The following is a 15217-nucleotide window of genomic DNA, read 5'->3' on the forward strand; positions in this document are numbered from 1 at the left end:
TGGTGCCAGCTACTCAGGAGGCTGAGGCAGGAGAATCACTTGAACTCAAGGAGGCGGAGGTTGCAGTGAGCCAAGATTGTGTCATTGCACTCCAGCCTGGACAACAGAGTGAAACTCCGTCTCAGGGGAAAAAATGCTGAAAATTCCGAAAACCAGCATGCCTCTTCTCCTCCAAAGGATCACAACTCCTCCCCAACAAGGGAACAAAATTGGATGGAAAATGAGTTTGATGAATTCACAGAAGTAGGCTTCAGAAGGTGGATAATAACAAACTCTTCCAAGCTAAAGTGCATGTTCTAACCCAATGCAAGGAAGCTAAGAACCTTGATAAAAGGTTGCAGGAACTGCTAACTAGAATAACCAGTTTAGAGAAGAACATAAATGACCTGATGGAGCTGAAAAACATAGCACGAGAACTTTGTGAAGCATACACAAGTATCAATAGCTGAATTGATCAAGTGGAAGAAAGGATATCAGAGATTGAAGATCAACTTAATGAATTAAAGCGTGAAGACAAGATTAGAGAAAATAGAATGAAAAGGAATGTACAAAGCCCCCAAGAAATGTGGGACTATGTGAAAAGACCAAACCTACGATTGATTGGTATACCTGAAAGTGACGGGGAGAATGGAACCAAGTTGGAAAATGCTCCAGGATATTATCCAGAACTTCCCCAACCTAGCAAGACAGACCAACATTCAAATTCAGGAAATACAGAGAACATCACTAAGATACTCCTCAAGAAGAGCAACCCTAAAACACATAATCGTCAGATTCACCAAGGTTGAAACGAAGGAAAAAACGTTAAGGCCAGCCATAGAGAAAGATCACGTTACCCACAAAGGGAAGCCTATCAGAATAACAGTGGATCTCTCAGCAGAAACCCTACAAGCCAGAAGAGAGTGGGGGTCAGTATTCAGCATTCTTAAAACATAATTTTCAACCCAGAATTTCATATCCAGCCAAACTAAGCTTCATAAGCGAGGGAGAAATAAAATCCTTTACAGACAAGCAAATGCTGAGGGATTTTGTCACCACCAGGCCTGCCTTACAAGAGGCCCTGAAGGAAGCACTAAATATGGAAAGGAAAAACCGGTACCAGCCACTGCAAAAACCATACCAAAATATGAAGACCAATGAAGCTATGAAGAAACTGCATCAACTAATGTGCAAAATAACCAGATCAAATTCACACATAACAATATTAACCTTAAGTGTAAATTGGCTAAATGCCCCAATTAAAAAACACAGACTGGCAAATTGGATAAAGAGTCAAGACCCATCAGTGTGCTGTATTCAGGAGACCCATCTCATGTGCAAAGACACACATAGGCCCAAAATAAAGGGATGGAGGAATATTTACCAAGCAAATGGAAAGCCAAAAAAAAAAAAAAGCGGGGGTTGCAATCCTAGTCTCTGATAAAACAGACTTTAAACCAACAAAGATTAAAAAAAGACAGTGGCATTACATAATGATAAAGGGATCAATGCAATGAGAGCTAACTATCCTAAATATATATGGACCCAATACAGGAGTACCCAGATTCATAAAGCAAGTTCTTAGAGACCTGCAAAGAGACTTAGACTTCCACACAATCATAGTGGGAGACTTTAACACACCACTGTCAATATTAGATCAACGAGACAGAAAATTGGCAAGGATATTCTGAACTTGAACCCAGCTCTGGACCAAGCGGACCTAATAGACATCTACAGAACCGTCCACCCCAAATCAACAGAATATACATTCTTCTCAGCACCACATAACACTTATTCTAAAATTGACCACATAATTGGAAGTAAAATACTCCTCAGCATATGTAAAGGAACGGAAATAATAAGTCTCTCAGACCACAGTGCAGTCAAATTAGAACTCAGGATTAAGAAACTCACTCAAAACTGCACAACTACATGGAAACTGAACAACCTGCTCCTGAATGACTACTGGGTAGATAACAAAATTAAGGCAGAAATAAATAAGTTCTTTGAAATCAATGAGAACAAAGACACAACGTACCAGAATCTCTGGGACACAGCTAAAGCAGTGTTTTGAGGGAAATTTATAGCACTACATGCCCAGAGGAGAAAGCAGGAAAGATCTAATATCAACACCCTAGCATCACAATTAAAAGAACTAGAGAAGCAAGAGCAAACAAATTCAAAAGCTAGCAGAAGACAAGAAATAACTAAGATCAGAGCAGAACTGAAGGAGATAGAGACACAAAAAAAACCTTCAAAAAATCAATGAATCCAGGAGCTGGTTTTTTTAAAAGATTAACAAAATAGACCACTAGCCAGACTAATAAAGAAGGAAAGAGAAGAATCAAATAGATGCAATAAAAAGTGATAAAGGGGATATCACCACTGATCCCACAGTAATACAAACTACCACCAGAGAATATAAACACCTCTATGCAAATAAACTAGAAAAGCTAGAAGAAATGGATAAATTCCTGGATACATATACCCTCCCAAGACTAAACCACAAAGAAGTCAACTCCTTGAATAGACCAATAACAAGTTCTGAAATTGAGGCAGTAAATAATAGCCTACCAACCAAAAAAAGTCCAGGACCAGACAGATTCACAGCCGAATTCTACCAGAGGTACAAAGAGGAGCTGGTACCATTCCTTCTGAAACTATTCCAAACAACAGAAGAAGAGCGACTGCTCCCTAACTCATTTTATGAGGCCAGTGTCATCCTGATACCCAAACCTGGCAGAGACACAACAAAAAAGGAAAATTTCAGGCCAATATCCCTGATGACCATCGATGCAAAAATCCTCAATAAAATACTGGCAAACTGAATCCAGCAACGCATCAAAAACCTTATCCACTGCGATCAAGTTGGCTTTATCCCTGGGGTGCAAAGTTGGTTCAACATATGCAAATCAATAAATATAATCCATCACATAAACAGAACCAATGACAAAAAACACAAGATTATCTCAATAGATGTGGAAAAGGCCTTTGATAAAATCCAACACCCCTTCATGCTAAAAACTCTCAATAAACTAGGTACTGATGGAACATATCCCAAAATAATAAGAGCTATTTATGACACACCCACAGCCAGTATCATACTGAATGGACAAAAGCTGGAAGCATTCCCTTTGAAAATTGGCACAAGACAAGGTGCCCTCTCACCACATAGTATTGGAAGTTCTGGCCAAGGCAGTCAGGCAAGAAAAAGAAATAAAGGGTATTCAAACAGGAAGAGAGGAAGTCAAATTGTCTCTGCAGATGACATAATTATATATTTAGAAAACCCCATCGTCTCAGCCCAAAAACTCCTTAAGCTGATAAGCAACTTCAGCGAAGTCTCAGGATACAAAATCAATGTGCAAAAATCACAAACATTCCTATACACTAATAACAGCCAAATCATGAGTGAACTCCCATTCACAATTGCTACCAAGAGAATAAAATACCTAGTAATGCAACATACAAGGGATGTGAAGGACCTCTTCAAGGAGAACTACAAACCGCTGCACAAGGAAATAAGAGAGGACACAAACAAATGGAAAAACATTCCATGCTCATGGATAGGAAGAATCAATATCGTGAAAATGGTCATACTGCCCAAGGTAATTTATAGATTCAGTGCTCCCCATAAAGCTACCATTGAGTTTCTTCACAGAATTAGAAAAAAAGCTACTTCAAATTTCATATGGAACCAAAAAACAGCCCATATAGCCAAGATGGTGCTAAGCAAAAAGAACAAAGCTGGAGGTATCACACTACCGGACTTCAAACTATACTATAAGGCTGCAGCAACCAAAACAGCATGGTACTGGTACCAAAACAGATACATAGACCAATGGAACAGAACAGAGGCCTCAGAAATAACACCACATATCTACAACCATCTGATCTTTGATGAACCTAACAAAAACAAGCAATGGGGAAAGGATTCCTTATTTAATAAATGGTGTTGGGAAAACTGGTTCAGAAAACTGAAACTGGACTCATTCCTTACACCTCATATAAAAATTAAGTCAAGATGGATTAAAGACTTAAACATAAGCCCTAAAACCATAAAAACCCGAGAAGATAACCTAGGCGATACCATTCAGGACATAGGCATGGGCAAAGTCTTCATGGCTAAAACACCAAAAGCAATGGCAACGAAAGCCAAAATGCCACAAATGGGATCTAATTAAACCAAAGAGCTTCTGCACAGCAAAAGAAACTATCAGCAGAGCGAACAGGCAACCTACAGAATGGGAGAAAATTTTTGCAATCTATCCATCTGACAAAGGGCTAATATCCAGAATCTACAAGGAACTTAAACAAATTTACAAAAAAAAGAAACAACCTCATCAAAAAATAGGCGAAAGACATGAACAGACACTTCTCAAAAGAAGACATTTATGCAGCCAACAAACATATGAAAAAAAGCTGATCATCACTGGTCGTTAGAGAAATGCAAATCAAAACCACAATGAGATACCATCTCACGCCAGTTAGAATAGCGATCATTAAAAAGTCAGGAAACAACATATGTTGGAGAGGATATGGAGAAACAGGAATGCTTTTACACTGTTGGTAGGAGTGTAAATTAGTTCAACCTTTGTGGAAGACAGTGTGGTGATTCCTCAAGGATCTAGAACCAGAAATACCATTTAACCCAGCAATCCCATTACTGGGTATATACCCAAAGGATTAGAAATCATTCTACTATAAAGACACATGCACACATATGTTTATTGCAGCATTATTCACAATAGCAGAGACTTGGAACCAACCCCAAATGCCCATCAATGATAGACTGGATAAAGAAAATGTGGCATATATACACATGGAATACTATGCAGCCATGAAAGAGAATGAGTTCATGTCCTTTGCAGGGACATGGATGAAGTTGGAAACCATCATTCTCAGCAAACTAACACAGGAACAGAAAACCAAACACCACATGTTCTCACTCATAAGTGGGAGTTGAATAGTGAGAACACATGGACATAGGGAGGAGAAGGTCACACGCCGGGGCCTGTCGGGGGGTGGGGGGCAAGGGGAGGGATAGCATTAGGAGAAATACCTAATGTAGATGACAGGTTGATGGGTGCAGCAAACCACCATGGCACATGTATACCAATGTAACAAACCACGTTCTGCACATGTATTCCAGAATTTAAAGTATAATAAAGTGATTATTGATACTGTTGGAAAAAAAAGAATGTAAAAGTGTTGGCTAGGCATGGTGGTTCACACCTATAATTCCAACACTTTGGGAGGCCGAGGCGTCTTGAGCCTTACTTAATGGCCTCTTTCATTATGTTGCGCAGGCTAGTCTCAAATGATTCAAATTCCCAAAAGTGAGAATCACTTGTGCCCAGGAGTTTGAGACTAGCCTGGGCAACATAATGAGACCCCATCTCTGCAAAAGAGAAAAAAAAAGAAAAAGAAAAAGAAAATTACCCAGTTGTGGTGGTGCATGTCTGTAGTCCCAGCTACTCAGGAGGCTGAGGCGGAAGGATGACTTGAGCAAGGGAGGTGGAGACTGCAGTGAGTTGTGATTGTGCCACTGCACTCCAGCCTGAGCAACAGAGTGAGACCCTATCTCAAAAAAAAAAAAAAAAAAAAAAAGTTAGTTTATAAAGAAGACCTGGAACCAAAAAGTTTGAGAACTGGACTAAAGTAACCTAAAATGGTAACTGTTTAAAGTAGGTAGGGATTCTTAATCCAGGGTTCCCAATACTCTTATAGAAAGAAAAAATATTTTTATATCTATATATCTTTTTTTTTTCACTAACCTCTGAATGAAATTCAGTGTTTCTATTTTGAATGCAGGCAACAAAACACAGCAGTAATATTAGCAGCAACTGTGACTTTGTTGCCAATAGATGTTTTTTCCTATATCCATATTTAAAGATTGTTTCTTGAAGCAACATATAGTTAGGTCTTGCTTTTTTATATTGCCTTTGAATTGGAATGTTTAGACAATTTGCATTTAAGGTAATGATGTGATTTCCTTTCAATTCTACCATCTTGCCTTTTGCCTTGTATTTGTCCCATTTTTTTCTTTGCTTTTTTTTGCTTATTTGTTTGCATTTTTCATACTTTCTTTTTGATTGAGTTGAATTTTTTTTTTTTTTTTTGACATGGAGTCTCGCTCTGTTGCCCAGGGTGGAGTGCAGTGGCATAATCTTGGCTCACTGCAACCTCTGTCTCCTGGGTTTAAGCAATTCTCCTGCCTCAGCCTCCCAAGTAGCTGGGATTACAGGCGCCTGCCACCATGCCCAGCTAATTTTTATATTTTTAGTAGAGATGGGATTTTGCCATGTTGGCCATGCTGGTCTCCGACTCCTGACCTCAGGTGATCCACCCACCTCAGCCTCACAAAGTGCTGGGATTATAGGCGTGAGCCACCACCCCTAGCCTGAGTTGAATTTTGTTTGTTTTTTAGTGGTTGCTCTGGGACTTACAATATACTTCTTTAACATATGAGAATTTACTTTCAAAACATACTATATTACTTCATATATAATCTAAGGACCTTAAGTATTCTATTTCTCTCTCTTCTACTATTGTAATATATTTTACTTCTACATGTAAACCCTGTGATTGTTACCATTTTTGATTTAAGTGGTGAAATTACTTTTGTGGCTGGGTGTGCTGGCTCATGCCTGTAATCCCAGCACTTTGGGAGGCCAAGGTGGGAGGAGCCTTTGAGCCCAGGAGTTTGAGACCAGCCTAGGTAACATAGTGAGACTCTGTGTCTACAAAAAAAATTAGAAACATTAGCCAAGTGTGGTGGTGCACTCCTGTAGTGCCAGCTGCTCAGGAGGCTGAGGTGGGAGGATTGCGTGAGCCTAGGAGCTTGGGATCTTGGGTGAGCTATGATCACACCGCTGTATTCCTTGTACTCCAGCCTGGGCAACAGAGTGAGACCCTGTCTCAAAAAAAAAAAAAAAAAAAAAAAGACTTGTTCACGATTTAAATGTATGCTGGTGAACTTTTTGCCTCCAGCTTTTTTTTTTTTTTTCCTGCCCCCACCAGGAGGATAAGGTCTGGGAAAAATCTTTTACTTTCATTTCTTCAACATATATTCATTGTATTTATCGTTGTAGGTTGACCAGTTTTTTCTTTGTTTTATAGATGTTCTATTTTCTTGTCTTGCATAGCTTCACAAGAAGTCTGTGTGTGTGTGTGTGTGTGTGTGTGTGTGTGTGTATATATATTTTTTTCTTTCTTTCTTTTTTTTTTTTTTGAGACGGAGTCTTGCTCTGTTGCCCAGGCTGCAGTGCTGTGGTGCAATCTCGGCTCACTGTAAGCACTGCCTCCCAGGTTCAAGCGATTCTCCTGCTTCCGCCTCCCAAGTAGCTGAGACGACAGGCTCACACCACCACGCCCAGCTAATTTTTTGTACTTTAGTAGAGACGGGGTTTCGCCGTGTTGCCCAGGCTGGTTGCGAACTCCTGAGCTCAGGCAATTTGCCCACCTTGGCCTCCGAAAGTGCTGGGATTACAGACGTGAGCCACCGTGCCTGGCCAAAGTCTGTATATTTTAACTTTGTTTCTATCTAAATTTTTTCCCTCTGGCTTCTTGTAAGATTTTCTGGTTTTGACAGCTTTTCAGGAATTTGATTATTGTGCCTCGTTGTGGTTTTCTTTGTGTTTATACTCCTTCAGGAGGGGGGCTCATTGAGTTACTTGGATGTGTAGATGGGTTTTTGTTTTTGTTTTTTTTTTTTTGTTTTTTTTTTTGTTTTTTTGTTTTGTTTTTGAGACAGGGTCTCACTCTATCGCCCAGGCAGGAGTGCAGTGGGACAATCACAGATCACTGCAACCTCTGCCTTCCGAGCTCAAGGGGTTCTCCTACCTCAGCCTCCCAAGTAGCTGGGACCATAGGCACATGCCACCACGCTCAGCTAATTTTTTGTATTTTTGGTAGAGATGAAGTTTCACCATATTATCCAGGCTGGTCTCTAATTCCTGGCCTCAAGTGATCTGCCCATCTTGGCCTCCCAAAGTGCTGGGATTACAGGCATAAGCTACTGCACCTGGCCAGATATATCAGTTTTATCAAATTTCGAAAATGTCATTATTTCTTCAAATGCACTGCTCCCCATTCCAGTTACATATATATTATACTGCTTGATAGCTTGGTATTGTCCTGTAGTTCTAGTCTTTTTTTTTTCTTTTTCTTTTCTTTCTTATTACACCCCTAACCCTTCTACCCTTGCTTCTTTCTTCCCTCTCTCCTGTCTCCCTTTCCCCTTCTCTTCTTTCCTCTTATTCTCATCACATTTGAACTTTGTTTAAATTTGTGTATTTTCTGTTGCTGTGTCTTCAGATCCCCTGAACTTTCCTTCTGCAGTATTTAATATATTGTTAATACCCTCCAGTGATATTTCTATTTCACATACTGTTTTTGAATACTGTAAGTTCTTCTTGGTTCTTATTATATGTGTGCCATTTTCTTCCTCATTTTTTTCTTTAAATTTTTGAGCGTATTTATAATAGCCGTTTTAGAGTCCTCATTGGCTAATTTCATCATCTCGTTTCTGGGATGGTTTCAGCTGATTTATTTCACTCTGGTTTCAGGTCCCTTTTTTTTTGAGACGCAGTCTCGCTCTGTCGCCCAGGCTGGAGTGCAGTGGCGCGATCTCAGCTCACTGCAAGCTCCGTCTCCCGGGTTCACACCGTTCTCCTGCCTCAGCCTCCCAAGTAGCTGGGACCACAGGCACCCGCCACCCGCCACCACGCCCGGCTAATTTTTTGTACATTTAGTAGAGATGGGGTTTCACCATGGTAGCCAGGATGGTCTCGATCTCCTGACCTCGTGATCCACCCGCCTCGACCTCCCAAAGTGCTGGGATTACAGGCGTGAGCCACTGCGCCCGGCCTCAGGTCACATTTTCTTTCTTCACATTTCTATTAATTTTTTATTGGATGCTGGACATTGTTAATTTTATATGGTTGAGTGGTGGAATTTTTTTTTTCTGCTTCTTTTAAAGAATTTTGGACTTTGTTCAGACAAGTGGTTGAGTTACACGTGGATCAACTCCATCCTTTTGAGCCTTGTTTTAAGCTTTGTTAGGAAGCATCTAGAATATCATTTACTCTAGAGCTTATTTAGCTTTGCTACTAAGATAAGAGTCTTTTGAGGTTTCTACTGAATTCCTAGTTTTTCAACAAGGAAGACTTCTAGTCAGAACCATATGACTCTGGGAATTGTTCCACCTGTAAATCTCTATTTATTCTTTGCCTTACCTTTTGAAGTTAGTCTGTGTGCTGGGCTTGGCCACAGACTCAAGTGAATCCTTCTGCAGATTTCTGGAATTTTATATGCTTAGCTTCCACTTCTCTGGCCCACTTCCAAGCTCTGCTTGAGTTCTTTCTCCCTTCACCACAGTCTGAAAAATGCCTCTAGGCAGAAAGCCAGGGCAGTGTTAGGTCTCACTTCATTTCTTTTGCATCTCAGAAATCACAGTCCTACACTGCTTATTATCCAATATCTAAAAAGAGTTTTATATTTTTTTGTTCACTGTTCTGGCTGTTATTGTGGGTTGAAAAGTCTGTTTCTAGTTATTCCACCGTGGCCACTGAAAATTATTTCCTGTTTTTATACCTTTTAAGATAATCATGGAGACAAAAAATAAAGTTTACGTTCCTTTTATTTTCTCTGGCTATTTGGGCCTTATGGCGTATATTGCTAATAACTGCCTATAGTGTTTAGCAATTTCATCTGATCTCCTGTTCACATCTTTAATTATTTTCAAGATGACATTTTAAATGGTTCAGCTATAATACAATAATGAACAAAATAGTATAGAATTACTGTAGGATATTTTAAACAAATAAAATAGCATGTACATTATATTAAAGCTCATGAGTGAATGTTTTTAAACAGTACATAAGTTGTTTAAATGATAGCTTTGCAAAGAATTGGGTTTATCATTGTAGTCATAAGGTTATCAACTGTTGGATTTAATCATCTTGTTTTCTAATCAAAGATTTTTAGAAGTAATATGAACATAATTGATGCCTAGTCAAAGATGATCTTCGGTGAATTAAAATATCTGAAAGTAATCCTATAAACTTATGTTAAAATCTGTATGGATTTTGCCATGTAGCTTCTGTTGTCCCTTTGATAGTCTTACAAGGAAAAAAACAAAACAAACTCCTATGTTTGATGCAGTAGTGTACATTATTAGACTGTTAGCATGTTTCTTAATCTTTGATTTTTTTGTTTGTTTTTCAGATCGTCAGTATTTAAACAGATCACATCATGCGTGAGTACAAGCTAGTGGTCCTTGGTTCAGGAGGCGTTGGGAAGTCTGCTCTGGTAAGTTAGCCACCTAACTGTAACTGATTAATATAATACAAGAAGAATTTTGACATTTCCTTGCTTTCAGACTTCTAGATGCCAAAGAGAAAAGGTGGCATTATTATATATCTGATATCTGTCCCACAAAGGACAGGAAATCATTTAATAACCACAGATGTATATAGTTTTATAACATTGGCTCATTTATTCTTATATTTACCAAATATTTATTGGCTATCTTATATGTCAAGCACCAGTGTTGATGATGCAGAGAGGAGTAAGATTGTTCTCTTTTTAAGGAATTTACATTGTATTGGGGGAAACTGATTATTACAGATTCTAGTGGGATAATTCCTCACCTGCTTCCACCCTAGACTTAGATGGAATGAAGGTCATTTTTTGTGTTCATGCTGTTTTTATTTAGTACATAGTTACTGAGTTTCTATAGTGTCAGATTCTAGGGTCACAACAGTGAATGAAAACAGTCATAGTTTCTTATGGAGCTTGCATTATAGTGGAGGAGATGTAATAAATACACAAAGAACTACTTGGTTCTACTTGTGAGCGAGATACTCTGAAAGAAAAATACAGATTAATTTAGAAGAAAGGCAGAGTGGATGTGGGAGACAAATTGGGAGTTAATACTGTATACCAGATAATTGTTTATGGAAGCTTGGATTAGGACCATGGCAGTTAAGAAAAGAGAAGTAAATGTTTGAGGATTGAGTAAGTGGTAGAACTGACATAACTTGGTGCTAGATTGATATGGGGACTAGGAGAGAAGGAGCTGTCAAGGATGGCTCCCAAGTTTCTAGTTTGAGCTACTAATTTTATGGATGGATTAAAAGAAGAAGGGAAACAGTGGAGAAGGAGCAGTGAGAGTCCAAATCAAAGAGTCATGTCAAATTTTATGTTTGTGACATGTTGAAGTAATAAAAAAGAGAGGCCGGTGATATGATTTTGGGTGCCATCAATATGGTGATGATATTTAATTTCATGAGAGTTACATTGCTGTTAGGCATGTAAGTCAGTACCTCTGTCAAGAATGTTTGAGAATATCTGTCATTTTTAATGGCATATAACTTTCAATTCAGCGATTCCCTCTCTAAAAATGTAGCCCACATATAAGTTCACATGTGCAAAATGGTGTGGTCAGGGAACATCACAACATTCTTTACAGTGACTAGAGTCTGGAAACAACCTAAATGTATTCCATTAAGGGGCTAGTTAAGTAAATTTTAATACATTTTCAGAGTAGAATACAGCCATTAGAATGCAATAGCTCTATATATACCGATATGTAATGATATCCAAGATACATTATTAGAGAGAAAAAAGGTACTAAACAGTGTAGACTATAATTTGTGTTTTATATTTAAAAAAATGTAGGCTGAGGGTAGATACCTGTAAAATCATAGAGTATCTCTTCAAGGTTAAATAAGCTATGAATAACATCAGTTACTTTCTTGGGAGTAGGATTGGATAGCTGGGAACAAGGGTGGTAGATAAGCTTAGTTATCACTGCATAGCCTTTTGTGCCTTTTTGAATTTAGTCCTATGTCCATGAATTACCTTTTCAAAAATAATTTTGGAAAAAGTCCATAGGAGTGAAAGAGGTCTAGGGAGATACTAGAGAGAGAAGAGCAGAGCCCAGGACTGAGCTCTGAGTACCTCTCAACCTTTAGAAAGTAGATAGGATTGGAGGATCTAGCATAGAAGAAGGTGTCTTTACTTGATTCCTCAAAAGTCAAGTAAAAAAGAGGAAAGAGATGATCAGAGAGCATAGAGGCAGTTGGACATGATAAAGGAAGCAGCTTTAGTCAGGTCATGTTGCCATAACCATAATGGGGTGGGTTGAAGATTAAATGAGAGCTGAGGAAATGGAATATAGACATTTGAAGAAGCTTGATTATGAGAGGGGACAGAGAATGGGGGCAGAAGCTGGAGAGATATTGGGGTTAAGGGAGGTTTTTGTTTTTGTTTTAGAATTGGAGATAGTAAAGCATATTTGTATGCTGGGGGCAATTCCTCTCCACTGGAGAGGAAAATAAGGATACAGGAGAGGGAAAGAGGAGATGATCCAGTACAAAAACCTGAGGAATAAAATTATAATCTATGTGAATGAATGAATGAGATGTCCCTGAAAATTAAGACAGAGGATAAGATTCAGAGGAGTAGTCAAACATTACTTTTAGTAAGAAAGAAATGAGAAACGTTGGATTGTTTTGCATTTTTGCAAGTCTTATTAATGTCTGGCTTATAGAAGGCACATGGGCTCTTTTGCCTGCTTCTGTATCCAGTCTCTTTCAATAGCACATGTTCTATACCCTTTGGAAGATTCCACTGTAAACTTATGAGAGAAGAAGAAGAGTACCTCTTAGAATACATCTTAGTATTGTTAGGAAGATAGTTTGACCTTAGGGAGCCTCTGCCTTGGACCATATTTTGAGACTCTCTGCTCTAGCCTAAAGCATATTAGGAAGCTGTATTAGACTGCCTTTTTTTTTTTTTTAAATCTTGAATCAGCATCTTGCCCTGGAGTGCAGTGGCGTGATCATGGCTCACTGCATCTTCAACCTCCTACACTTAAGCAATCCTCCCACCTTAGCTACCCAAGTAGCTGGGACTACAGGTGCATGCCACCACACCTGGTTAAATTTTTAAATTTTTTGTAGAGACAGTCTCACTATGTTGCCCAGGTTGGTTTCAAATTCCTGAGCTCAAGCAATCCTCCTGCCTTGGCCTCCTAAAGTGCTAGGAGTACAGCATGAGCCACTGCATCCAGCGTAGACTGCTTTGTATATTTAAATTATGTGTCGTACTTAGAAGATGAGGTGATTAAATCCTTGATAAAAATCATGATTAAGGTTTTTGGTGTGATTATATCTTGAGTTGCCTTTGAATAATAGAAGCTTAGTAGGAGAAAGAAGTTTGTTTACTATATTTGAGTTAATCTCTTTAGCTCAAGCTAAAATAGTATATCAAATATTCCTCTGAGTAATTTAAGTGTAGATGACCTCAGTCCACATTCTTACCCTTGCTTTTTAGGCAATAATGTACCAGACCCTGTTTTAAAGTTACCTAGGAAATATCTTAAAACCGTCTTCTGTACTTTTTTCACTTACTGAATGATAAATACGTATTTTCTAGTATGTGCTTTTGGATGCCTTTAAAAGTTGATAATATCTGAAAAAGATGAATGGGCAATATTTTCCAATGGAAAAAGTAAGGCTTTGGAATCAGGAAGATGTATGTTTGAATCTCAGCTGGCAAATAGGAAGAATAACTATTTCTGGGACAAATGTGAAATTTGAATGTGGTTATAAATTAAAAGTGACTAGCTTAATGTCTGGAACATAATAGACATTCAGTAAGTTTAAATTTCCCTTTCTCTTTTCCACCACAATTTAGAAAGGCTTTAACAAATTTACAAGATGCTGCTTGAGGTCCAGCTACCTGGGAGGCTGAGGCGGGAGGATCTCTTGAGTTCAGGAGTTCAAGGCCAGCCCAGGCAACATAGCAAAGACCCTGTGTTTAAAAAAAAATTAGAACCTTTGTCACTCCATTAAGGGCAGAGGGCATGGGATAAAAGTTACTATAGATATATAAAGGGGCAATAGGAGTTTAAATATTGATAATTTTTCATGTTTTAATTAGTTCAGATATGTTATTTGTATCCTTGTATATTAAGACTTAATGTAATTAACAGTGTATTATCAGTATTGATGACAGTTTTTAACATGACTACCTCCTTTCATAATAAATGTACTCTTAGTTATGGATGTATCCTTATATTGAAAGAATTAATAATATACTTTACATTTACGTGTTTACCCAGAATTTTCACATAATTTCAATTAATCATTATAATTTGTAGGTTAAGTAACATTCAAAGGAGTTTTCCTTTAATTTTTTAATATTTCTCTTTTTTTTTCCCCCAGACAGTTCAGTTTGTTCAGGGAATTTTTGTTGAAAAATATGACCCAACGATAGAAGATTCCTACAGAAAGGTAAAATGTGAAACTTGTACACACATGCTTACAAGTAGTTCCTTATGATGTTAAAATTTGATCTGTAGATTTGCTTTTTGAAAATAGTTTTGAGAAATAATACAAATATTGTGCATCTGTTTTTAAAAGTTTCATCAAGACAGAACATTTCTTAACAGAATACTACTTTGATATTCAGAGCTCTATGTTCTGTTACTGATTAGTGACTTGTTCCTTAATGTGGACATTTTCCTGGTGGGGAATGTTGCCACATATGAAAAAATTGCATATAAATAGTAGGTGTGTTTTCAACTTACTCTTTTGTTACCAACAATTAAGACCACCTTTATGCTTGAAGTTATCCAGTGACTGAACATTTTTATTTTTGTTTAGTTTTATAAGTTTAAAGATATCTTTAGACTACCAAAAAATTAGAGTCTGTGTAATACTATAATTGGGTTATATGCCATACATTTGTCAAAACCCATAGAATGTACCATGCCAAAAGAAAATCCTAATGTAAACTGTGGACTCTTGGTGATAACGATGTGTTCATGTGGGTTCATCAGTTGTAACAAATGTACCACTCTGGTGCAGGATGTTGATGGTGGGGTGAGGCTATGCATTTGTGGTGGCAAGGAGTATGTGGGAAATCTCTGCACCTTCCCCTCAGTTTTGCTGTGAAACTAAAACTGCTCTAATAAAGTCTATTTAAAAGGGAAAAAAAATTAGGTACTTGGTCTTGACAAAAAATATTCTGTAGAAGACCAGCCAGAGTTGTGGAAAATTTTCAGTATTTTCTATGTCAAATATATTGGGTGGGGTGGAGGTTATAAAAGGCTAGTAGCCAAGAATATTTTTTAAAAAGATTAAACTTTAATAGGAAAGGATTGCTTTTGAAGACATTTTTAGAATTTACCTTTAATAGTGCTGTAACTTTTGTTGAATTAATT

General features: G+C 38.0%; 1 protein-coding gene across 6 annotated transcripts in view; it reads left to right on the forward strand.

Annotated features, from left to right (window-relative positions):
• RAP1A (RAP1A, member of RAS oncogene family) overlaps positions 1 to 15217 on the forward strand; it is a 174683-nt gene that overhangs the window by 139116 nt on the left and 20350 nt on the right. For all 6 annotated transcript variants that reach the window (NM_001370216.2, NM_001291896.3, NM_001394066.1 and 3 more), the window contains 2 exons: positions 10210 to 10293; positions 14217 to 14285. In NM_001370216.2, the coding sequence (NP_001357145.1) occupies positions 10237 to 10293; positions 14217 to 14285 (126 nt within the window). In that variant the 5' untranslated portion in view covers positions 10210 to 10236. The remainder of the gene's footprint in view (positions 1 to 10209; positions 10294 to 14216; positions 14286 to 15217) is intronic.

This window comes from Homo sapiens, chromosome 1 (assembly GCF_000001405.40).
Source record: "Homo sapiens chromosome 1, GRCh38.p14 Primary Assembly".
Taxonomy (NCBI): Eukaryota; Metazoa; Chordata; class Mammalia; order Primates; family Hominidae; genus Homo; species Homo sapiens.